This window comes from Homo sapiens, chromosome 7, assembly GCF_000001405.40.
Source record: "Homo sapiens chromosome 7, GRCh38.p14 Primary Assembly".
In the NCBI taxonomy this organism is placed as follows: Eukaryota; Metazoa; Chordata; class Mammalia; order Primates; family Hominidae; genus Homo; species Homo sapiens.
This window is the reverse complement of record NC_000007.14, coordinates 130,054,988-130,080,243: the sequence shown is the minus strand read 5'-3', so window position 1 is coordinate 130,080,243 and position 25,256 is coordinate 130,054,988. Positions and strand designations below refer to the sequence as shown.

The 25,256-nt window shown below is 43.1% G+C and overlaps 1 protein-coding gene across 5 annotated transcripts in view, besides 3 other annotated features; it reads right to left on the bottom strand.

Moving 5' to 3' along the window:
• The window catches only part of KLHDC10 (kelch domain containing 10), a 65,172-nt gene extending 55,462 nt beyond the window's left edge, over positions 1-9,710 (bottom strand). For all 5 annotated transcript variants that reach the window (XM_047420061.1, XM_047420062.1, XM_047420063.1 and 2 more), the window contains exon 1: positions 9,435-9,710. Coding sequence is in view for 2 of the 5 variants with exons in the window: in NM_014997.4 (NP_055812.1) it covers positions 9,435-9,600 (166 nt within the window). In the remaining 3 variants the exon portion in view is untranslated. The remainder of the gene's footprint in view (positions 1-9,434) is intronic.
• Positions 9,506-9,675: a silencer, noted in NCBI's record as "silent region_18642". NCBI's record gives its function as "represses an Ori minimal core promoter by ATAC-STARR-seq in GM12878 lymphoblastoid cells {active_cell/tissue: GM12878}" and the evidence as "EXISTENCE:reporter gene assay evidence [ECO:0000049][PMID:35858748]".
• Positions 9,776-9,965: an enhancer, noted in NCBI's record as "active region_26644". NCBI's record gives its function as "activates an Ori minimal core promoter by ATAC-STARR-seq in GM12878 lymphoblastoid cells {active_cell/tissue: GM12878}" and the evidence as "EXISTENCE:reporter gene assay evidence [ECO:0000049][PMID:35858748]".
• Positions 9,996-10,195: an enhancer, noted in NCBI's record as "active region_26643". NCBI's record gives its function as "activates an Ori minimal core promoter by ATAC-STARR-seq in GM12878 lymphoblastoid cells {active_cell/tissue: GM12878}" and the evidence as "EXISTENCE:reporter gene assay evidence [ECO:0000049][PMID:35858748]".

Below are 25,256 nucleotides of genomic sequence, written 5' to 3'. Positions count from 1 at the left end.
AGGGCCAGGCACAGTGGCTCATGCCTGTAATCCTAGTACTTTGGGAGGCTGAGGTGAGAGGATGACTGGAGGCCAGGAGTTTGCAACCAGCCTAGGCAACATAGCAAGGCCTTATCTCTACAAAAAAATTAAAAATAAGCTGGGTGTGGTGGTGCACGCCTGTAGTCCTAGCTACTTAGGAGGCTAAAGCAAGAGGTTGGCATGTGCCCAGGAATTCAAGGCTGCAGTGAACTATGATTGCACCACTGCACTCCAACCTGGGCGACAGAGGGAGGGAGGGAGGAAGAAAGGGAGGAAGGGAGGGAAGGAGGAAGCGAGAAAGGGAGGAAGGGAGGGAGGGAGGAAGAAAGGGAGGAAGGGAGGGAGGGAGGAAGAAAGGGAGGAAGGGAGGGAAGGAGGAAGCGAGAAAGGGAGGCAGGGAGCAAGGGAGTAAGGAAGCAAGGGAGGGAGGAGGTGTGGGAAGGGAGGAGGTAGGGGAGGGGGAGGGAGGGAAGGAAAAAGGAAGGAAGGAAGGAAGGCAGGAAGGCAGGCAGGCAGGCAAGCTTTGAAATAGTTTTATAAAAGTGGAAACAAAAATAACACAATAAAAAAAACAGAAAGGAAAATGAAAACGCCTATGAGGAGTGATGCAAAATTTCTAAGTAAAGTTTAGCAAACAGAACCCAGCAGTACGTTTAAAATACTAATACACCACGACAAAGTAAGTTAATTCAGGAACACAAGAATGGTTCAGTAACAATAAATCCATTAATACAATCTACCACAATAATAGATCAAAGGACAAAAATTACATTATAATTCCCATAGATGCTGAAAAGGCATTAGCAACATTACTTCTAATAAAATACATTTTTTAAATAAAGTATTTATTAAAAAAAATACTTTAGGCCTGGCATGGTGACTCATACCTGTAATCCCAGCACTTTGGGAGGCCGAGGTGGGCGAATCACTTGAGGTCAAGAGTTCAAGACCAGCCTGGCCAACATGGTGAAACCCTGTCTCTACCAAAAACACAAAAGTTAGCCAGACGTTGTGGCGGGCACCTGTAATCCCAGCTACCCGGGAGGCTGAGCCAGGAGAATCACTTGAACCCAGGAGGCGGATGTTGCAGAGGGCCAAGATCGAGCCACTGTACTCCAGCCTAGGCAACAGAGTGAGACTCTGCCTCAAAAAAAAACAAAAAACAAAAACAAAACAAAACAAAAACTTTAAAAAAACAGTAACAGCTGAATACTTTAACATGATAAAATATGTACGCTTCAATCTAAAGCCAGATCTAATCTTAATAGGAAAGCATTAAAAATATCTGATTGAAGTAAGGAATAGGACAAAGCTCCACTACTATCTTATTGTTTAGTATTTTTGGAAAGTACTAGCGAAATCAATTGAACAAAATAAAGAAATAAGTATCAAAAGTGAAAGGAGGGGCCAGGCGCGGTGGCTCACGCCTGTAATCCCAACACTTCGGGAGGCCGAGGAGGGTGGATCACGAGGTCAGGAGATCGAGACCATCCTGGCTAACACGGTGAAACCCCGTGTCTACTAAAAATACAAAAAATTAGCCGGGTGTAGTGGCACGCGCCTGTCGTCTCAGCTAGTCGGGAGGCTGAGGCAGGAGAATGGCGTGAACCCGGGAGGCAGAGGTTGCAGTGAGCCAAGACTGCGGCATTGCACTCCAGCCTGGGTGACAGAGCGAGACTCTGTCTCAAAAAAAGAGTGAAAAGGAAGGCAGGGCGCGGAGGCTTATACCTGTAATCCCGGGAGGCCAAGACAGAATGATCACTTGAGCCCAGGAGTTTGAGATCAGCCTGGGCAACATAGCAAGACTCCATCTCTATTTTATTTTATTTTTATTTATTTTTTATTTTTGGAGACGGAGTCTTGCTCTGTCACCCAGGCTGAAGTGCAATAGCGCAATCTTTGCTGACTGCAACCTCCGCCTCCAGGGTTCAAGCGATTCTCCTGCCTCAGCCTCCTGAGCAGCTGGGACTATAGGCATGCACTACCACATCCGGCTAATTTTTTTGTGTGTGTTTTCAGTAGAGACGGGGTTTCACCATATTGGCCAAGCTGGTCTCAAACTCCTGCCCTCAAGTGATCCGCCCGCCTCAGCCTCCTAAAGTGCTGGGATTACAGGCATGAGCCAACACGCCAGGCCTATTTAAAAAAAAAGAAAAAAAAATGAAAAGGAGAAGATAAAATTATCATTATTCAGTAATGATATGATTATTTAGCTATACCTGTTATTCTCTAGAAAAACAACTGGGAAACTATTATAGATAATATTAGAATTCTTAACGTGGCTAGGTATAAAATTAATACTCAAAATTTAATAGCATTCTCATATTCAAACAACCACATAAAAGTTATAAAAGAAAGTAGAAACCCCGGCCGGGCGCGGTGGCTCTCGTCTGTAATCTCAGCACTTTGGGAGGCCGAGGCCGGTGGATCACGAGGTCAGGAGATCGAGACCATCCTGGCTAACATGGTGAAACCCCATCTCTACTAAAACTACAAAAAATTAGCTGGGCGTGGTAGCAGGTGCCTGTAGTCCCAGCTACTTGGGAGGCTGAGGCAGGAGAATGGCGTGAACCCGGGAGGCGGAGCTTGCAGTGAGCCAAGATGGTGCCACTGCACTCCAGCCTGGGCGACAGAGCAAGACTCCGTCTCAAAAAAAAAAAAAAAAAAGAAAGAAAAAGAAAAAAGAAAGTAGTAGAAACCCCATTTACAATAGCAACAAACAAGATAAACACCAAGGAATAAACATAATAAGAAATGTGAGGCCTATATAAAAAAATAAACAACTTTTTAATGTTGATAGATACAAAACAATACTTGAATGACAATAAATACATATACTGTTTTTTTTTTTTTTTTTTTTTTTTTTTTTGAGACAGAGTCTTGTTCAGTCACCCAGGCTGGAGTGCAGTGGCACAATCTTGGCTCACTGCAACCTCTGCCTCCCAGGTTCAACAATTCTCCTGCCTCAGCCTCCCGAGTAGCTGGGATTACAGGCACCTGCCACCAAGAACGGCTAAGTTTTATATTTTTAGCAGAGATGGGGTTTCCCCATGTTGGTCAGACTGGTCTCAAGCTCCTGGCCTCAAGTGATCCGCCTGCCTCAGCATCCCAAAGTGTTGGGATTAAAGGCGTGAGCCCCCATGCCTGGCCACATATACTGTTCTTGAACATAAAGAAATGAATATAGACCCTGTTTTTGAACCTCAAAACGATGTCAATTATCTCTAAATTAATCTATAAATATAATACAATACCAATAAAAATGCCAACAGGACAGAGGAGCAGGACTTGGTTAGCTAATTCTAAGCCATATAGAAAAATAAACAAAGAAAACTTCCCAGGAAAACTCTGGGAAGTAGAATGAGGGAAGATGATAACCAAGGAATAGAGTCATTAGGTATAAATAGGTAATCTGATCAATGAAACAGAATAAAAGTCCAGTAATAACCTCAAACTGTAGGAACTAAGTACACCTATAGACAACATTTCAATCAGCAGGGCAAAGCTGAACTAAATGAAGGACACTGCCATAACTGGGCAGCCATCTGGAAGAAAAGTATAGTTGGATTCCCACCTCGACACTTTATTTAACTTACATTTTGTGTGGGTAAGTGCATTTAACTTAAAAATAAAATTACAGAAGTACCTGGAGAAAACACAAGAATATTTAATTTGAATTAGAAATAATAATAAAATAGGAAAGGCCTTTCTTATGACACAAAACCTAGACTCTGAAAAGACTGATAAATTTCACAACAAAACATTTAAAACATTTAATTTCTGATGAAAAAATAGACCATAAACAAAGTCAAAACGCAAATGAAAAACTGTGAAAAATATCTGCAACGTGTCAATGGCTAAGAACTGATTTCATTAAAATACAGAGTTCCTATAAACCAGGGGTCCGCAAGCCCCAGGCCATGGACCCCTGGTACCGGTCCATGGCCTGTTAGGAACCTGGCCACATAGCAGGAGGTGAGTGGTGGGCGAGTGAGCATTCCCGCCAGAGCTTGGCCTCCTGTCAGATCAAGCATTAGATTCTCATAGGAGTGCTAACTCTACGGTGAACTGTGCATGCAAGGGATCTAGGCTGTGCACTCCTTTTGAGTCTCTAGTGCCTGATGACCTGAGGTGGAACAGTTTCATCCTGAAACCATTCCCCCCACTCCTCCACCCCACCATCCCGGTCCATGGAAAAATTGTCTTCCACGAAACTGGTCCCTGGTGCCAAAAAGGTTGGGTACCGCCTTTATAAACAATATGAACCATCCCAATAGAAAAATGAACAAAAAATATAAACAGATCTATAGATAAAGGAAACAAATAAATGGCTCTTTTATCTACCTATTGGAAAGACACTTAAGAAAACTATTCCTATTAAACTGACAATTTAAATAACGTTTGATAACCCACTCCGTTACCAAAAGAACAAGGAAGACAGCACTCGAACAACAACAGGGAAACATAAACTTGAAATTTGACAGAATCTATCAAAATTTAAGCAGTAAACATAAATCCTTTGACCCAGAAACTGTACTTCTACAAATTTATCCTAAAGAAAGACTCTCTCATGTGCAAAAGTTATATATGTATAGGGCTATTCATTGTATCACTATTTGTATTAGCAAGATTGTAAACATCTTAAATACCCATCCAAACAAAGGAATGCTACCATCTCCACAAAGTCCCTCCCGTCCCCCCTGAACCTGGAAAAAATATACAGGAAATGTATCATTGGTTGCTTCTAGGGAAGGCAGTCAATTAGCTGGGGTCAAAGGAAGAAGAAAAACTTGCCTTTTACCATATACTTTTTTGTATCATTTGGATTTTATACACATTACTTACTTAAAATTTTTAAGTTAAGACTACAGTATTATTTTTACCCAGCTTTACCAACTGTTACATTTTTCCTTCTTTTTCTTTGTCAGTTTTCCAGTTCCCATGTTAGCAACAATGTTTAACTGTTTTCCCAGCTAATCATGGTATTTAATCAAACTCACACAGTTAAATCACAACAGCTACCTGAATTCCATTGCCCCATGAACCCCGCGCTCCTGAGCTCTCTGCATACTTATTCTACAAAAAGCACAATTCCCTGTTCGTTACTGGGTGTATAGAAATTATGAGTTAGTAAAAATCCAGGAGTAAAAAGCTATTAATTTCTTGGCCTATGAGGCAAACACATAATCACTAGTGAACTTCAGAAAACAGGAGAAAGGCAAGTGCTTAAAAAAAGGTTTCACAAACTATTGTTTGTGCTGTCGCAATGGATGCAGAGTCTAATCCACTACTTTACATTAAAGAACCTGATTTTGGCCAGGCACGGTGGCTCACGCCTGTAATCCCAACACTTTAGGAGGCCAAGGTGGGTGGATCACAAGATCAGGAGTTCGAGACCAGCCTGGCCAACATGATGAAACCCCGTCTCTACTAAAAATACAAAAAGTAGCACAGTGGCGCGCACCTATAATCCCAACTACTCAGGAGGCTGAGGCAGGAGAACTGCTTGAACCTGGGAGGCAGAGGTTGCAGTGACATTGCGCCACTGCACTCTAGCCTGGGTGACAGAGCAAGACTCCATCTCAGAAAAAAAAAAAAAAAAAGAGAGAGAACCTTGATTTTAACCATCTATCCAGAGTCAATGTGGCTAGAGGATTGAACCACACTAACCAAACTCACTAGACACTAACGTGTTATATATAATGCCAATGCGTTAATTTAGAATTTTAAAAATATATGTATATGTATATGGCATATATATACGCATATGTGTGTATATGTATACGCACATACATCTCAAGAGTATCAAATCATGCATATCAAGGAATCACACACAAATGGTAAAGTATGCCCAAGGAGAGCCACATGATGCTATGAGTGTTACAGAGAGAAGAGACCAAGTCAGAAAGTCACGGAAGGCTTCCATGTAAAAAAACATTTTGATCAAACTGAGATCTAATGGAAGAGAAGTTAAAACAAGAGAATGGAATGAGGAGTAAGAAGGTTCTTGGATGACGGAAAAGCTTGTGCAATGGACCTGGGGCAGGAGGAAGCATGATACATCCAAGGGGGCAGAAAAAGATCAATGACCAAGAGAACGTAACACAGGATTAACTGTAGAGTTAGAGAGGAGTCAGACGACACAGTGCCTTTGAGGCCATGTTAAAGATTTTTGCCTTATCCTAAGAGCAATAAAAAGGTTGTGAGCAGGGATGAGAATGTATTTGGGCTTGCAAAAAGACTGGTGTGCTATATGAATTGAAGGGCAAGAGTAGAAGCACGAATACTGCTTAAAAAGCTCCTGCAGGAGACCTAAGTGAGGGATGGTGGCACCGTGGATTGGAGTTATGGCAGGAGTAAAAGAAACGGACTTGGTAAATGATTACACCTGAAGTGCAACGGAGAAGAAAATATTGAGGAGGATGACCAAGTTTCAAGTTTGCATAACTGGATGGATAAAGAAGCTATCACTGAAAGAGAATGAGAACACTCCAGGAAGACCAGGTTGTTTTGTTTGGTTTCATTGGGGGCTGGATGGAGGGTTGAGATGTAAAAAGTAAGAAAAGGTTCTAAGTATCAGTAACTGGAAGTCTTGGTAGAGAAGGATGAAAAATGGAACATGGGGCTGGCTGGGCGCTGTGACTCACGCCTGTAATCCCAGCACTTCGGGAGGCTGAGGCGGAAGGATCACTTGAGGCCAGGAGTTCGAGCCCAGCCTGGCCAACATGGCAAAAACCCATCTCTACCAAAAATACAAAAAATTAGCCGGACGTGGTGGCCCGCACCTCTAATCCAGCTACTTGGCAGACTGAGACAGGAGAATTGCTAGAGTTCGGGAGGCAAAGGTTACAGTAAGCCAAGACTGTGCCACTGCACTCCAGCCTGGGCCACAGAGTGAGGCTCTGTCTCAAAAAAAAAAAAAAAAAAAAGACAAATAGGATTTAGAGGTCAAAAGAGAGAGACAGTGAGCTATACTATAGTTTTTTGTTGTTGTTGTTGTTGTTTTTTAATTTTTAACTTGAGATGTGGTCTTGCTTTGTTGCCCAGGCTGGCCTTGAACTCCTAGGCTCAAGTGATCCTCCCACCTTGGACTTTCAAAGTGCTGGGGTTACAGATGTGAGCCACCACGACCAGCCGCTATAGTACACTCAAAAAAATAAAAAATTTGGCTGGGCGAGGTGGCTCACGCCTGTAATCCCAGCACTTTGGGAGGCTGAGACAGGCAAATCACCTGAGGTCAGGAGTTCAAGACCAGCCTGGCCAACATGATAAAATCCCGTCTCTACTAAAAATACAAAAACTAGCCTGGCGTGGTGGTGGGCGCCTGTAATTTCAGCTACTCAGGAGGCTGAGGCAGGAGAATTGCTTGAGCCTAGGAAGTGGAGTTGCAGTGAGCCGAGATCGCGACACTGCACTCCAGCCTGGAGGACAGAGTGAGACTCCATCTCAATAAATAAATAAATAAATAAATAAATTTAAAATAAAAGGTTTTATCTCCAAGGCCCGTCAACCAAGCCTAGACATCCTATTCCTCCCCATCACCTAAAATCTTTTAAAATCTATCAAAATGCAAGAAAAGGGAGAGGCTTAAAATGCAATACCTAGCAGAATAAAGAATTGGTATGAAAGAATTTCAAACTACATAATACATTGAGGTATCAGATGTGTCCCAATTTTGAGAATGAGTAAAGGAGCAATGAAGTGTCAGTCAAGAGAAAAGGGAAGCAGAAAAAAGAGACTGATGACCCCGCTTTACAAATTTTCACAGTTTAGACACGTTTATCTTTACCTCCGGATAAATGGCTGTTCTTGGTCTTGTGTGCTAAGGGAATGCAGAAATAGCTCTACACTGAAGCCCCTTAGCAGAAATCATGGCTTCCACTGCCATCACGTGGTTGAAGTGAGGAAGTGCACCAAGCAGGTTCTAGGAACCTAGGAATGCCTACTTGAAGCCCATGGTATAATTAATCCGTGATCAAAGACCTAAAGATTGCGGTAGTAGAGGGCAAACTGGTGACAGTGTTTGCTAAGAGATTCATCTTCTAAGCTGCCAATACACAAAAATCTAAGTTTTTATTATTAATTGGGAGTAAGAAAAAAGATTGCTCCTTTTTTCTTTTTCATGTTAAAGATCGTATATTTAGCAATTCTAGGATGCCCAGTCTGATATTAACGTCTCAAACCCAACTTCTGGTATATTATATGACTACTTACAAATGCCTCGATTTAATGCATATAAATGGGGTAATGTACATTTCTAGCACACATCAACAACCTCATCACGAACATAAGCAATTGTCTCATTAAATGTGCTAAATTCCCTTTGTCATCTTCAATTTAATCAAATAATAATTTTTGACTAGAAGTATAAGGTACAGTCTTAAGCACAATTCATAAAAACCAATTCATCATGTTCTCAAAACTCATCAGCTAAACAAATATATCACTAATATAATCAATATTATTCACAAAAAACACGATGAATAATTAACACATCATTCCTGATAGTTCTTTTCATAGTAAAAATAAGCTTGCCCAGTGGGATATTTGACGTTCTCTGCATTATTTAATTCCCTACCTTCCTTCTACTAGATTGAATATTCAATTACAAACATACCTCTTTAAAATTGTCTACACATACATATCCACTTGATTTTATTTTGTTTTCAAAAGCATCTGAACTCAAGGCTAGGGCACTGTAGACCAAAATGTCAAATAATTGTATTGGGTACATTTTTCCAATTCTCAGTTGTTTTTATATTGTAAACACAGCATAATTGTGTCACTAAGTATATTTTTGATCTTCACTTTCTCCCCTTAAAACCTAGACACCATTATCCTGTCTCTGAACATTCCAAAATATTAATAATCCAACTAGTTTTCCCTAATCCTCTAGGTTCTCTTTCCCATACACTCCCCAGCCAACACTCCCCCACCCCTTTCTTCCGTTTCAGAATGCCTCTTACACACACGCCCCGTGTAGTTTTTACAAAATCACTCCTTGGAATGCGTTTCCTTCTTCTCTCCTTAACTTGGCACCCTTTTTGAAATAATTTCCCACAGCTAGGCGCCAATGTCTTTCATTTACAAGATCAAACTGCGGAAGGGGAAGAGATTGGGAATCGAGTAACCGAAACATTTGGAAATGTCAATGAGACAGTGGCCTCTCCTTTGAAAAGAAAACACAACTCTCAGCACAGAGCTTTCAACAGAGCACAGATACTTTTCTTCGCTGTGCTCCTGTTCCCTCCCTGACCTCAAAGACACCTTCCCTTTTCTCTGATCCCCAGTCCCTCTGCTATGCGTGGGGCCTGCCTTTCCTCCTCCCAAGGAAAAGCAAGCCAGGGAGAAAAAGAAAAGGTAGCAGTCACCTTCCCGCCCGCAAGCGGTCAGGACCCTGTCCCACGACTCACCTGGCAGGTGCGGCCGCCCGGAGAGTTGCACGAAGCGGTTGAGCTGGCCAGTCCCCCGACCCCCGCTGCCCCCACTGCCCCCGCCGGCCCCGCTACCTCCGCCACCAGCGCCGGCGGCGCCTCCTCCCCTCCGGCGGTTCCTGTCCCAGCCCTGGGCGGCCGACATGACCCGCTAACGATTGCCGCAGCCCGGTCCCGTCAGCGCCTGACCCAGCGGAACCAGCGGAGCCTCCTTCCTGGGCTCCTCCAGAGACCCAGGAGACAGGGGAAGGGGGCAGCGCCCGGTCCCACCAGAGACCAATGACTTACCGCCTTGGTGAAAGGCAGCCAATGGTCAGTCGTTTTCTTGGTAGGTGGCGGGAGGCGGAGAGAAACGTGGTAACCATAGCTATGGCTAAAAAAAAAAAAGTAGGGGGAGAGAAAGGCAGAAGCAGCCACTCCTAGCTCTCATCGTCCGCTCTGGGCTGGCCGGCGTCACCCCGACTCCTGCGGGGCCAGGCGGGCCAATCGAAGACCGAGTGTCAGAGGCCGCGCCTGCGGAAAGACTCCCGGGGACGGCCAGTGCCTCAGTCTTGGTTAGGATTCAGGAACTTTTTCCCATAAACATTGCAATCAGACACTGGATATACGCATAATACACATATTTGGGGGCAAGACGGTATTCTGCCAGCTTTTCAGATTGAGATCCCATTCACTGATGGTTGACACACACAAAGGGCTTGCTTGGGGTCCGGGTAGGTGAGGGGACCCAGGGGCGGAGTCAAAGCTAAAATGTAAGAACCAGATATTCCTGGGTTTCATTTGTCTTTCAGTCGGCTTAGCTGCATTTGTCCCTGTATAAGCCACGTCCCAATCAAACAGTTTTAAACCTGGTTAACAAATATGGGAAAATGTTCACTCTCACCTGTAATCTTAGAAATACAAAATAAAACCCCAATGAGAAACCATTTCTGGTTTATTACATCAGTAAAGACTTTTCAAATAACACCTGGCAGTGTGTGGAATGCCAAGAAAAAGGTATTCTCATAGATGGCTGATGGCTCTGTAAATATTTTTGTTCGCTCAAACTCCTTTTGGCTAGTAGAAAATTTTAATCAGCTTGGAAGATATATAATCAAGAGGAAATGTAAAATTAAATAAAAGGCAGCAACGGGTATGGAAGATCAAGATCAAAGAAAATTTTTAATGTGCCGATCAGGAGTTTCTATTGTTCCAAAATTAAACAGAAATTTTGGCTTGAAACTTACTGGGCGCAATGCAGACTGGGAAAACATACTATACACTGATGTTTCTGAATGATAAGGAAAAAGCATATCAAATTCCTCAAGGGAAACAAAACTTTTCAAGGTCCTTAGATGTGACAGATTTTTTTTTCTTTTGCATTAGAAGAACCTTACATGGTTGCAGAGAAAAAAAAGAAACTCTGCTGGAGCTGAGGACAAATACCCTTTGTACCTGGTGTGCAAATTTCTGGTCGCCACTGGCACTGCCTCCTTGTTTTCCTACTTCCAGTCCCTGTAGGCAGAAATGTTTTAGTCACTAGCACCATAGCACGCTGCTTATGAAAATGTTTGAGACTTGAAAAAAAAAAAAGCCTATGGTTCTAAAATATAAAAACCAAAATTAATATATGTTAACTGTTTTTTTTTTTTTTTGAGACGGAGTCTTACTCTGTCGCCGAGACTGGAGTGCAGAGGCATGATCTCGGTTCACTGCAACCTCTGCCTCCCAGGTTCAAACAATTCTCCTGCCTCAGCCTCCCAAGTAGCTGGGATTACAGGCATGTGCCACCACGCTCTGCTAATTATATTTTTAGTAGAGATGGGTTTTCACCATGTTGGTCAGGCTGGTCTCCAACTCCCCATCTCAGGTAATCCACCTGCCTTGGCCTCCCAAAGTGATGGGATTACAGGTGTGAGCTGCTGCGTCTGGCCAGTTTTTTATGTATATAGGCAAAATGCAGTCTTACACATTTTACATGTTTAACCTGTCTAATCCTCACAGAAATCCTATGAAATGCTGTTTTCCCAATTTGCAAAGCAAATTTGTAGAGATAGGGCAGTGTGTGGGGATGAGGGGGTGGTTTTGCCTTGTTGCTCCGGCTAGTCTAGAACTCCTGGCCTCAAGCCATCCTCCTGCCTTGGCCTTCTAAAGCATTGGGTTATAGGCATGAGCACCACGCCCAGCCAAAGTAGATTCTTAAGTAACACTTTTTAATTAATCAACTGGGAGAGATGAAATAAGAAAATAACATATAAAGTTTTGGTTGGGCGCGATGGCTCATGTCTGTAATCCTAACACTTTCTGTAATCCCAACCCTTTGGGAGGCCGAGGTGGGTGGATCACCTGAGGTCAGGGGTTCAAGACCGCCTGGCCAACATGGTGAAACCCGGTCTCTACGAAAAATTCAAAAAAATTAGCCAGGCGTGGTGGTGGGTGCCTGTAATCCCAGCTACTCGGGAGGCTGAGGCACGAGAATTGCTTGAACCCGGGAGGCAGAGGTTGCAGTAAGCCGAGATCGTGCCATTTTCACTCCAGCCTGGGCGACAAAGCAAGACTCCGTCTCAAAAATACATACATACATACATACATACATACATACATACATACATACATACATACAATGGCCGGGTGCGGGGGCTTACGCCTGTAATCCCAGCACTTTGGGAGGCCGAGGGGGGCGGATCACGAGGTCAGGAGAGGGAGACCATCCTGGCTAACACGGTGAAACCCCGTCTCTACTAAAAATATTTAAAAAAAAAAAATTAGTCTGGCGTGGCGGCCCGCGCCTGCAATCCCAGCTACTCTGGAGGCTGAGGCAGGGGAATCGCTTGAACCTGGAAGGCGGAGGTTGCAGTGAGCCAAGATAGCGCCGCGGCACTCCGGCCTGGGCAACAGAGCGAGACTCGTCTCAAAAAAAATAAATAAATAAAAATAAAATAAAATAAAATAACATAACATAACATAAAAAGTTTTAGTAGTCCCAAGATTTGGCTCAGTAGCTATATGGGTAACTGCTATGATTCGAATGTGTCCCCCACAGTTCATGTGTTGGAAACTTAATCCCCAATGCAACAATCTGGAGAAGTGGAACCTTTAAGAATGATTAGTACCTGAAGGTTCTGCCCTCATGAATGGATTAATGCTGTTATGGCGGGAATGGGTTAGTTATCTCAGGAGTGGGTTCCCAATAAAAGGATAACTTTGGTGCCTCTCTCTCTCTCCCTTTCTCTCTCTCTTCCTCCTTCTCTCTGCCTTTCCCTTTCACTCTCTCTCACCCAATGTGATGCTTTCTGCCATGTTAAGATGCAGCAAGAAGGCCCTTTCCAGATATGGCTCCAGGATCTTGGACTTCTAAGCCTCTAGAACCATGAGCCTAATAAATTTCTGTTCATTATAAATTATTCAGTCTGTGGTATTCTCTTATAGCAGCATAAAATGGACTAAGACAGTAACTCTACTGTCTTTAAAGTTAATCCTAGTGTTAAAAATAATGGCCAGGCACAGTGGCTCACACCTGTAATCCCAGCACTTTTGGGAGGCCGAGGCGGGTGGATCTCCTGAGGTCGGGAGGTTGAGACCAGCCTGACCAACATGGAGAAACCCCGCCTCTACTAAAAATACAAAATTAACCGGGCATGGTGGCAGGCGCCTGTAATCCCAGCTACTCGGGAGGCTGAGGCAGGAGAATCACTTGAACCCAGGAAGCGGAGGTTGCAGTAAGCCAAGATCCCTCCATTGCACTCCAGCTTGGGCAACAAGAGTGAAACTCTGTCTCAAAAAAGAAAAAAAAAAGTACATCCTTATGGTATAATCTTAAATAAACAGAGGAATATAGAGAAAAAGTGAAACTTTCCACTTCACCCTTCCCCTAGTCTTATTCTCCTCTTGGAAAGACTATTAGCAGTTTGATGGCTGGGCTCAGTGGCTCATGCCAGTAATCCTAGCACTTTGGGAGGCCGAGGCGGACAGATCGCTTGAGGTCAGGAGTTCCAGACCAGCCTGGGGAACATAGTGAAATCCCGCCTCTACAAAAATTAGCCAGGCATGGTGGCACATGCCTGTGGTCCCAGCTACTCAGGAGGCGGAGGCAGGAGGATTGCTTGAGCCCAGGAAGTCGAGGCTGCAGTGAGCCGAGATCACACCACTGCGCTCCAGCCTGGGTGTCAGAATGAGATCCTGTCTCAAAAAAAAAAACAAAAAAAAAGACTGTTAACAATTTGACATAGGCCAGGTGCAGTGGCTCATGCCTGTAATCCCAGCACTTTGGGAGGCTGAGGTGGGTGGATCACCTGTGGTCAGGAGTTTGAGACCAGCCTGGCCAACGTGATGAAACCCCATCTCTACTAAAAGTACAAAAATTAGCTGGGCATGGTGGCAGGCACCTGTAATCCCAGCTACTCAGGAGGCTGAGGCAGGAAAGTCACTTGAACCCATGAGGCGGAGGTTGCAGTGAGCCGAGATCGTGCCATTGCACTCCAGCCTGGGCGACAAGAGTGAAAATCCATCTCAAAAAAAAAAAAAAAGAAAATAGAAAAAAACACAGTTTGATATAGTTTTAGTTCTCTTTCTATGTATAAACACATACACATTTGTAGACCTATGCAGTACTCTGTTTTTGCTTATTACATAAATGGGATTGGGGATTGTACAGAATGTATTCTGCAGATAGGTTTTTGTTATTTTATAAAATATGTCTTAGAGAGCTCTATACATTATTTTTTGTGGGTTTTATTTTGGTTTGGTTTTTATTTGTTTTTTGAGACAAGGTTTCATCTGTCACCCAGGCTGGAGTGCGTGATGCAATCTTGGCTTACTGCAGCCTTGACCTCCTGGGCTCAAGCCATCCTCTCACTTCAACCTCCCAAGTAGCTGGTCACAGGCATGCATGACCATGCCCGGCCAATTTTGTTTATTTTTAACAGAGATGGCGTTTCACTGTTTCTTTTTTCTTTCTTTCTTTCTTTTTTTTTTTTTTGACTCTCTGCATTGCCCAGGCTGGGGTGCAGTGGCACGATCTTGGCTCACTGCAACCTCCACCTCCCAGGTTTAAGTAATTCTTCTGCCTCAGCTTCCCAAGTACCTGGGATTACAGGTGTGTACCACCACACCTGGCTAACCTTTTTTGTACTTTTAGTAGAGACAAGGTTTCACCATGTTGGCCAGGCTGGTCTCAAACTTCTGACTTCAAGGGATCCGCCCACCTCAGTCTCCCAAAGTGCTGGGATTAAAGAGGTGAGCCACTACATCTGGCGTACATTGTTATTCCTTTTTTTTGAAGCCTACAACCAGGGCCAGGCTCAGTGGCTCACGCCTGTCATCCTAGCACTTTGGAAGGACAAGGCAGGTGGATCACCTGAGGCCAGGAGTTTGAAAGCAGCCTGGCCAACATGGTGAGACCCTCTCTCTACTAAAAGTAAAAAAAGAAGTTAGCCGGGTATGGTGGTACACGCCTGTAATCCCAAATCCCAGCTACTCGGGAGGCTGAGGCAGGAGAATCACTTGAACCCAGGAGGCAGAGGTTGCAGTGAGCCGAGATCACACCATTGCACTCCAGCCTGGGTGACAAAGCAAGACTCTATCTCAGATAAATAAATAAATAAATTTTTAAAGTAAATAAATAAATAAAATCTGCAACCATTCTTTTTTCACCATTGGTGAAAACAATTAGCAAAGATCTCTCCAAAAAAAAAATGAGGCCAGGCGCAGTGGCTCACACCTGTAATCCCAACACTTTGGGAGGCCGAGGTGGGTTGATCATGAGGTCAGGAGTTCAAGACTAGCCTGGCCAAGATGGCGAAACCCCGTCTCTACTAAAAATAGAAAAATTAGCCAGGTGCAGTGGCTGACACCTGTAATTCTAGCTACTCGGGAGGCTGAGGCAGGAGAATCACTTGAACCGGGGGGGCAGAGGTTGCAGCGAGCTGAGATAGTGCCACTGCACTCCAGCCTGGGCAACACAGTGAGACTCCGTCTCAAGAAAAAAAAAAAAAAAAAGACTGCTAAGCCCCAAATCAGCACACTGGAAGTTTAAAATGTAAGTTTAAGGCCAGGTGCAGTGGCTCATGTCTATAATCCCAGTCCTTTGGGAGGCTGAGGTAGGAGGATCACTTGAGCCCAGTTCAAGACCAGCCTGGGCAATATAGTGAGACCCCCGTTTCTTTCTTTTTTTTTTTTTTTTTTCTGAGATGGAGTTTCACTCCGTCCAGGCTGGAGTGCATGGCGCAATCTCACTCACTGCAACCTCTGCCCTCAGAGACGGGGTTTCACCATCTTGGCCAGGCTGGTTTTGAACTCCTGACCTCGCAATCCACCCGCCTCGGCCTCCCAAAGTGCTGGGATTACAGGCATGAGCCACTGTGCCCAGCTGTGAGACCCCCGTTTCTACAAAAAAAAATGCAAATTAGCCAGGCATGGTAGCCCATGCCTATAGTCCCAGCTACATGGGAGGAGGAGGTAGGAGGATCCCTGAGCCCAGGAGCTCCAGGCTGCAGTGAGCTATGATCTCATGGCTGCACTCCAGCCTGGGTGACAGAGCAAGACCTTGTCTCAAAAATCAATAAAGTTTTTTAAAAAACAGAAAAAATCAAACAAAAGATGTTAAAATCATTCAGAGTCCAAATAAATAAAAGCAAAGTTGAAGTTGTCTTCAGCATATGAACGATCTTTCCTTTCAAAAAAAATTAAGGGTAGGCTTGGGATTTCTCTAAACAGGAAAGATAATTCGTCAAGATCTGAGTGAATCTGAGGATATACTTGTACAGTAGGTTCAGAAAGTTTGACAGGTTGGGGCAGCCCATGCCTGCAATCCCAGCACTTTAGGAGGCAAAAGTGGGTGTGTTGTTTGAAGCCAGGAGTTTGAGACCAGCCTACACAACAGGTGAAACCCTATCACTGCAAAAAAAAAAATACAAAAATTAGCTGGGCATGGTGGTGCCCGCCTGTGGTCCCAGACGCTGCTCTGGAGGCTGAGATAGAAGGGTCACCTAAGCTGGAGCAGTTGAGACTGTAGTGAGCTGTGTTCATGCCACTGCACTCCAGGCTTGGCGACAGAGTGCAGTGTCTCAAAAAAAAAAAAAAAAAAGAAGAAGAAGAAGAAGAAGAAAAGGGACCGGGCATGGTGGCTCACACCTGTAATCTCAGCACTTTGGGAGGCCAAGGCGGGTGGATCATTTGAAGTCAGGAGTTCGAGACTAGCCTGGCCAACATGGTAAAACCCTGTCTCTACTAAAAATAAAAAAAAATAGCCAGGCATGGTGGTGGGCGCCTGTAATCCCAGCTACTCAGGAGACTGAGGCACGAGAATCGCTTGAACTTGGGAGGTGGAGGTTGCAGTGAGCCGAGATAATGCCACTGTCGACAGAGCAAGACTCCATCTCAAAAAAAAAAAAGAAAGAAAAAATTCCACTGACTTTCATCTCCCCTGAGGGAATTTGTTCATAGGACACAGTTCTGGTTTCTCCATGCAGATATTGCTCCTTAAATCAGGAGTTCTTGGCTGGGTGAAGTGGCTCACACCTGTAAACCCAGCACTTTGGCAGGCTGAGGCACGAGGATTGCTTGAGGCCAAGAGTTCAAGACCTGCCTTTACCAAGACCCCATCTCCACTAAAAATTTAAAAAATTTGCAGAGTGTAGTGGCGCCCCCTTGTGGTCCCAGCTACTCAGGGGACTGAGGTGGGAGGATCACTTGAGCCTAGGAGGTCTTTCCAGCCTGAGAGACAGAGTAAAACCTTGTCTCAAAAAAAACAATCAGGGTTTTTTAACCTCTATCAACCTGGTGGAGCCTATGGACACTTTTTCAGAATAATGTTTTTAACGCATAAAATAAGATGTGTAGGATTACAAAGGAAACCAATTATATTGAAATATAGATATAAAAATATTAAACTAATTAAAATTGTAAAATAGTAAATTTTTTTTGAGATCGCGCCACTGCACTCCAGCCTGGGCGACAGAGCAAGACTCTGTCTTTAAAAAAAAAAAAATCAGCCAGGCATGGTGGACTGTGCCTGTAGTTCTAACTACTTGGGAGGCTGAGGCAGGAGGTTCCCTTGAGCGCAGGAGTTTGAGGTTGCAGTGAGCCGAGATCACCCCACTGCACTCCAGCCTGGCTGACAGAGTGAGGCTCTGTCTCAAAAAAATAAATAAATAAATAAAAGAATTCCTAAAACTCAACAACTAAAAGACAACCCATTTAAAAAATGGGCAAAAAAGCACAAATAGCTATTTCTTCAAAGAAGATATACAAATGACCAATAAGCACAGGAGAAGATGTTCAACATCACTGGTCATTAGGGAAATGCAAATTGAAACCACAGTGAGACACCACTTCACACTCACTAGAATAGCTAAAATATAAAAGACAGACAATTATAAGTGTTGACAAGGATGTGGAGAAAGTGAATCCCTCATACATTGCTAACGGGAGTGTAAAATGGTGGAGCCATTTTGCAGAACATTTTGACAGTTTCTCTAAATGTTAAATATATAATTACCATATGATCCAGAAATTTTGCTCCTTAATATATGCCCAACAGAATTGAAAACATATGCCCTTACAAAAACATCTGTATGAATATTCATGGTAGCATTTTTCATAATAGCCAAAAGCATAAACAATCCAAATGTTCATCAATGGATGAATTGAGAAACAACATATGATATGTCTATACAGTGAAATATTGTTCAACCACACAAAGGAAGTATAGTACTAATACATGCTACAACATGGATGAACCTTGAAAACATGCTAAGTGAAAGAAGTCAGACACAAAAATCCACATATTGTATGACACCATTTACATTAAACGTCCAGAACAGGCAAATCCATAGTGACCGAAAGTAGATTAGTGGTTGCCAGGGAGGGAGAGGAGGGATGGCAGTCACTGCTAATAGGTACAGGGTTTCTCTTAGGGGGTGATAAAATGTTCTGGAATCAGTGGCAATAGTTGCACATATCTGTGAATATACTAAAAACCACTGACTTGTACACTTTAAAGCGTAAATATTATGTTACGTGAGATATATATCAATAAAAAGCAGCCCATAAGAAATGAAAATGTTTTGACTCGGCACAGTGGCTCATGCCTGTATTTCCAGCACCTTGGGAGGGTGAGGCGGGTGGATCACTTAAGGTCAGGAGTTCAAGACCAGCCTCGCCAACATGGTGAAACTTCGTCTCTACTAAAAATACGAAAAAATTAGCCAGGCGTGATGGCACACACCTGTAGTCCCAGCTACTGGGGAGGCTGAGGCCTGAGAATTGCATGAACCCAGGAGGTGGAGGGTGTAGTGAGCTGAGATCATGCCACTACACTCAAGCCTGGGTGACAGCAAGACTCCATCTCAAAAAAGAAAAAAAGAAATGAAAATGTCTGATAAATGTGTATTCACTTAAAAACCTGTGTCATGTTTTATATAAATTAAATTTTCACTAAAAATAAAAATTTTGCTTTTTTTTCTATTTTTGAGACAGGGTCTCACTCTGACACTGTCTAGAAATCAGTGAGGCAGTCGTGGCTCACTGCAGTCTTGACCTCCAGGGCTCAAGCGATCCTTCTGTGTCAGCCTCCTGAGTAGCTGGGACTACAGGTGCACACCACCAAGTCTGGCTAATTTTTAAATTTTTTGTAGAGACAGGGTTTCACCATGTTGCCCAGGCTGGTCTCAAACTTCAGGCCTCAAGCTATCCACCCACCTAGGATTCCCAAAGTGCTGGGATTACAGATGTGAGCCACAGCTCCTGGCTAAATTTTGCTAGTTGACACATTTTTCTATTTCATGAAAAAATTATACTCGCAAATATAATATGTTTGATTAATTTCTAAGAGGAGAGGTCCTATGAAGTAGTAAAAGCTTATCAGCTTAAATTTGTGTGTGTGTGTTTTTTTTTAGACAGAGTCTTGCTCTGTCACCCAGGCTGGAGTGTAGAGGTGCGATCTCAGCTCGCTGCAACCTCTGCCTCTCAGTTTCAAGCAATTCTCATGCCTCAGCCTCCCAAGGAGCTGGGATTACAGGTGTGTGCCACCATGCCCAGCTAATTTTTGTATTTTTAGTAGAGGCAGGCTTTGACCATGTTGGCCAGGCTGGTCTCAAACTCCTGACCTCAAGTGACCCGCCTGCCTCGGCCTCCCAAAGTGCTGGGATTACGGGCATGGGCCACCACACCTGGCCGAATGTTTGTGTGTTCTCACATTAAAAACCATACATACAGCTGGCCGGGCATGGTGGCTCACGCCTGTAATCCCAACACTTTGGAAGGCTGAGGTGGGCGGATCACAAGGTCAGGAGATCAAGACCATCCTGGCTAACACGGTGAAACCCCTTCTCTACTAAAAAAAAAAATACAAAAAATTAGCCGGACATGGTGGCGGGTGCCTGTAGTCCCAGCTACTATGGAGGCTGAGGTGGGAAAATGGGGTGAACCCGGGAGGCGGAGCTTGCAGTGAGCCGAGATAGTGCCACTGCACTCCAGCCTGGGCAACAGAGTGAGACTCCGTCTCAAAAAAAACCATAAAAACCAAAAAAATACATACGGCTGGGCACAGTGGCTCACACCTGTAATCTCAACACTTTGGGAGGCCGAGGCGGGCAGATCACGAGGTCAGGGGAAAGATACCATCCTGGCCAACATGGTGAAACCCCATCTCTACTAAAAATACAAAATTAGCTGGGCATGGTGGTCTGTACCTGTGGTCCCAGATACTCGGGAGGCTGAGGCAGGAGAATTGCTTGAACCCAGGAGGCAGAGGTTGCAGTGAGCTGAGATCCCGCCACTGCACTCTAGCCTGGTGACAGACAGAGTGAGACTCCGCCTCAAAACAAAACAAAACAAAACAAAACACCATACATACAATAAAGACAGTCTGACAGCTGGAGCAATCGGCAGAACTGTCTACTTCCCCAGGATAAACAAAATGGATAAGCAGCTCCTGAGAGGGAGATTAGCATGCAGGAGGTTTTTGGGGAGGATTCTTGGGGTCAAAAGGACGGGAAGGAAGCTGATCTGGGCAGGGGGAGGAGCTGGGCTATGATGCAGTCTCAAGGGAGACCCTCCAGGAAACCCTGAGGCTGGATGGCCCTTTAGCATTGTCCTGAGTTGGGACACGGAGCTGGGCCTTTTATAACTGTCTGGATTAGTTACTGGATGCCCTGAGGAAGGGAGTGGAGGTGACCTCAGGAGAAAGGGCTTCCTTCAATGAAGTAGCTATCAAAGGAGATGACAGCCAAGGACAGTAGGGCTTCCTGCTGCTGGTATGCCCAGCGGCTGGGGAGATTAGTTCTTCCTTCCTGAAAGAAGGTGAGGTAATGGTCACTAAAATGCTTAGGAAGAAAACTAGCACTTACCAAGAACCTACTACGTATCAAACATTTTCATATACATTCTTTCATTTAATCTCATATCCAGAAGTTATTTGACCCCAAGGCCACATGGCTAGTGATGGAAGCAGAATAAGAGACCATCTCTCTCTCCAAAACTCTTTTCTTCACATCACACTGGGCAAGTGACTATCTGAAACTTGGAAATTTTCCAAGTGTTTATTGATTCCTGTCTTAAAATTGACATCTTCTGGCTGGGCATGGTGGCTGACACCTGTAATCCCAGCACTCTGGGAGGCCAAGGCGGGCAGATCATGAGGTCTAATGATCGAGACCATCCTGGCCAACATGGTGAAACCCCGTCTCTACTAAAAATACAAAAATTAGCTGGGCGTGGTGGCATGCACCTGTAGTCCCAGCTACTCGGGAGGCTGAGGCAGGAGAATCACTTGAACCCGGGAGGCAGAGGTTGCAGTGAGCCGAGATCGCACCACTGCACTCCGGCCTGGCAACGGAGCAAGGACTCTCTCTCAAAAAAAAAAATTGACATATTCGGAACATCTACTATATGCCAGATGCTGGAGTATTAAGGGGAAAAAAACTGAAATATCACACACACACACACACACACACACACACACACACTATATATATATATATATATATACATTATACATAATAGATATAAATAAATAAATATCTATTACATCAATATACATATAGTTGTCGCTGTATATCCTCAGGGGATTAGTTCAGGACTCCTCTTCAATACCAACATCTACAGATGCTCAAGTCCATTACATAAAATTTGCATATAACCTATACACATACTTCCATATGTGTATCAGTTAAGTCATCTCTAGATTATTTATAATACCTGATACAATGTAAATGCTATATAAATAGTTGTTATACTGTATTGTTAAAAGAACAACAAGGAAAAAAGCCGGTACATGTTCAATACTGATGTAACCATCCATTAAAAAAATATTTTCAAGGCTGGGTGCAGTGCCTCACGCCTGTAATACCAGCACTTTGGGAGGCCGAGGCAGGCATCTCAAAAATATATATACATATATATTTTTTCTAGGCTAGGCTTGGTGGCTCATGCCTGTAATTCCAGCACTTTGGGAGGCCAAGGTGGGCGGATCATCTGAGGTCAGGAGCTCAAGACTAGTCTGGTAAACATGGCGAAACCCTGCCTCTACTGAAAAATACAAAAATTAAACGGGAGTGGTGGCAGGCACCTGTAATCCCAGCTACTTGGGAGGTTGAGGCAGGACAATCACTTGAACCCAGAAGGTGGAGGTTGCAGTGAGCTGAGATTGCCCCATTGCACTCCAGCTAGGGCAACAAAGCGAGACTCTGTCTCAAAATAAATAAATAAATTATATATATATATTTATAATATATAAATATATATTTAAATATATTAATATATTTTTAATATATTAATATATTTATATATAAATATGTATTTAAATATAAATATATATTTAAATATATAAATATATATTATATATTATAAATATATATATTTATAATATAAATATATATATTATAAATATATATATTTATAAATATAAATATATATATTATAAATATATAATATATATTTATAATATATAATATATAAAATATATTTATATATTATATATGTTTATATATTATAAATTATATATTAATATATTTATATATTATAAATTATATATTAATATATTTATATATTATAAATTATATATTAATATATTTATATATTATAAATTATATATTAATATATTTATATATTATAAATTATATATTAATATATTTATATATTATAAATTATATATTAATATATTTATATATTATATATAATTATATATAATAAATATTATATATAATTATATATTAATATATAATATTATATATAATTATATAATATTATATATAATATATATAAATATATATTATATATAATTATATATATATAAATATAATATTATATATATTTATATATAAATATATTATAAATATATAAATATATATATTTATAATATATATTTATAATATATATTTATATTTATATATATTTATATATATATTTATAAAATATATATATATATTTTTTTTTTTCTAGGCCAGATAAGGTGGCTCATGCCCGTAATCCAAGAACTTTGGGAGGCTGAAGCAGGAGGATTGCTTGAGCCCACGAGTTTGAGACCAGCCTGGGCAACATTTCTACCAAAACTTATTTTTAAAAATTAGTTGGGAGTGGTGGCATAAGCCTGTGGTCCCAGCTACTCAGGAGGCTGAGGCAGGAGGATTGCTTGAGCCCAGGGATATGAGGCTGCAGTGAGCTCTGATCACGCCACTGCACTCCAGCCTGGGGGACAGAGTGAGACACTGTCTCAAAAAAAAAAAAAAAGAAAAAAGAAAAAGAAAAAGAAACATCTGTCCATAGTTGGTTGAATCCATGGATGCAGGACCCATGAATATGGAGGGCTGACTGATATATCTATCAATCAGTTGTTCAGGCCTGGAGTTCCCCTTAAAACCTACTCCTGGCCAGGCGCAGTGCCTCACGCCTGTAATCCCAGCACTTTGGGAGGCTGAGGCAGGCGGATCACGAGGTCAGGAGATTGAGACCATCCTGGCTAACATGGTGAAACCCCGTCTCTACTAAAAACACAAAAAAATTAGCCGGGCGTGGTGGCGGGCACCTGTAGTCCCAGCTACTTGGGAGGCTGAGGCAGGAGAATGGCGTGAACCCGGGAGGCGGAGCTTGCAGTGAGCCGAGATCGCGCCACTGCATTCCAGCCTGGGTGACGGAGCGAGACTCCGCCTCAAAAAAACAAACAAACAAAAACAAACAAACAGAAAAAAACTACTCCTCACCTGTCATGTACAAGCCATCACCAAGTCCTGTTGTTTCTAATTCCAAACTACATCTTGTATCTGCTCGCTTCCAGCTGTCTTCACCCCAGCCTTACCCACCATTGCCTCTGTTCTGCCAAGGCTTTATCAGCAACTTCCTAACAGTCACTCCATATCCTCTTTTGGCTCCAATCCATTTTTCACAGTCTTTATAGTGACTTTTCCCAAAATGCACAATTGTTCATGTCACCGTGCCACTTAAAGTCTTTCAATGGCTGCCGTTGGCTTTTAGGATAAAGTCCAAATTCTTTGGAAATTTGTGTACATTAATTGAACAATTATTTATTGAGAGTCTACTATGTCCATGAGGTATTGTAAAGACTGGGGACACAGCAATGAATAAAAAGTATAAAAGCCCCTCTTTCTTCCTTCCTTCTTCTCTCTCTCTCTCTCTCTTTCTCTCTGTCATTTTTAGATGGAGCTTCACTCTTGTCGCCCAGTCTGGAGTGCAATGGTGCAATCTCAGCCCACTGCAACCTCCGCCTTTTGGATTCAAGCAATTCTCCTGCCTCAGCCTCCCGAGTAGCTGGGATTATAGGCGCCTGCCACCATACCCGGCTAATTTTTGTAATTTTTGGTAGAGACAGGGTTTCACCATGTTGGCCAGGCTGGTCTTGAACTCCTGACCTCAAATGATCCACCCGTCTCGGCCTCCCAAAATGCTGGGATTACAGGCGTGAGCCACCATGCCTGGCCAAAGGCCTCTTTTTTTTTTTTTTTTGAGACGGAGTCTCATGCTGTGGCCCAGGCTGGAGTGCAGTGGCACAATCTTAGCTCACTGCAACCCCACCTCCCAGGTTCAAGTGATTCACCTGCCTCAGCCTCCAAAGCAGCTGGGATTACAGGTGCGTGCCACCACACTCAGCTAATTTTTTTTTTTTTTGTATTTTTAATAGAGACAGGGTTTCATCATGTTGGCCAGGCTGGTCTCGAATTTCTGACCTCAAGTGATCCACCCACCTCAGCCTCCCAAAGTGCTGGGATTAAAGAGGTGAGCCACTGCACCCAGCGCTAGGATAGATAATTTTTGAAGGACCTTTGCCGTAAATAAAAGCAGAGAAGGTGTTTTCTTGTTTTCTGAAATAGAGTCTTGCTCTGTTGCCCAGGCTGGAGTGTGGAGTTCAGCGGCACCACCTCGTCTCACCGCAACCTCCACCTCCTGGATTCAAGCGATTCTCATGCCTCAGCCTCCCAAGTAGGTGGGACTACAGGTGCATGCCACCACGCCCAGCTAATTTTTATATTTTTAGTAGAGACAGGGTTTCGCCATTTTGGCCAGGCTGGTCTTGAACTCCTGACCTCAGGTGATCTGCCCCCCTTGGCCTCCCAAAGTGCTGGAATTACAGGCATAAGCCAGTGCACCTGGCCTGTTTTGCATGTTTTTAAGATGGGAGAAGTAATATCTTGCTGCTAATGGAAATGTGCAGTGGAGGGGAGAATTGGTGGACAATGTTCTTGAGTAGGCAAGGGGAATTAGATCCAATGTGTAAGTTTGGCCTTAGATAGGCACATAGATTACAGCAGGGCTTCTCAACCTGTGCACATATTGGGTGAGATAATTTTTTGTTGTGGCGAGGCTGTTCTG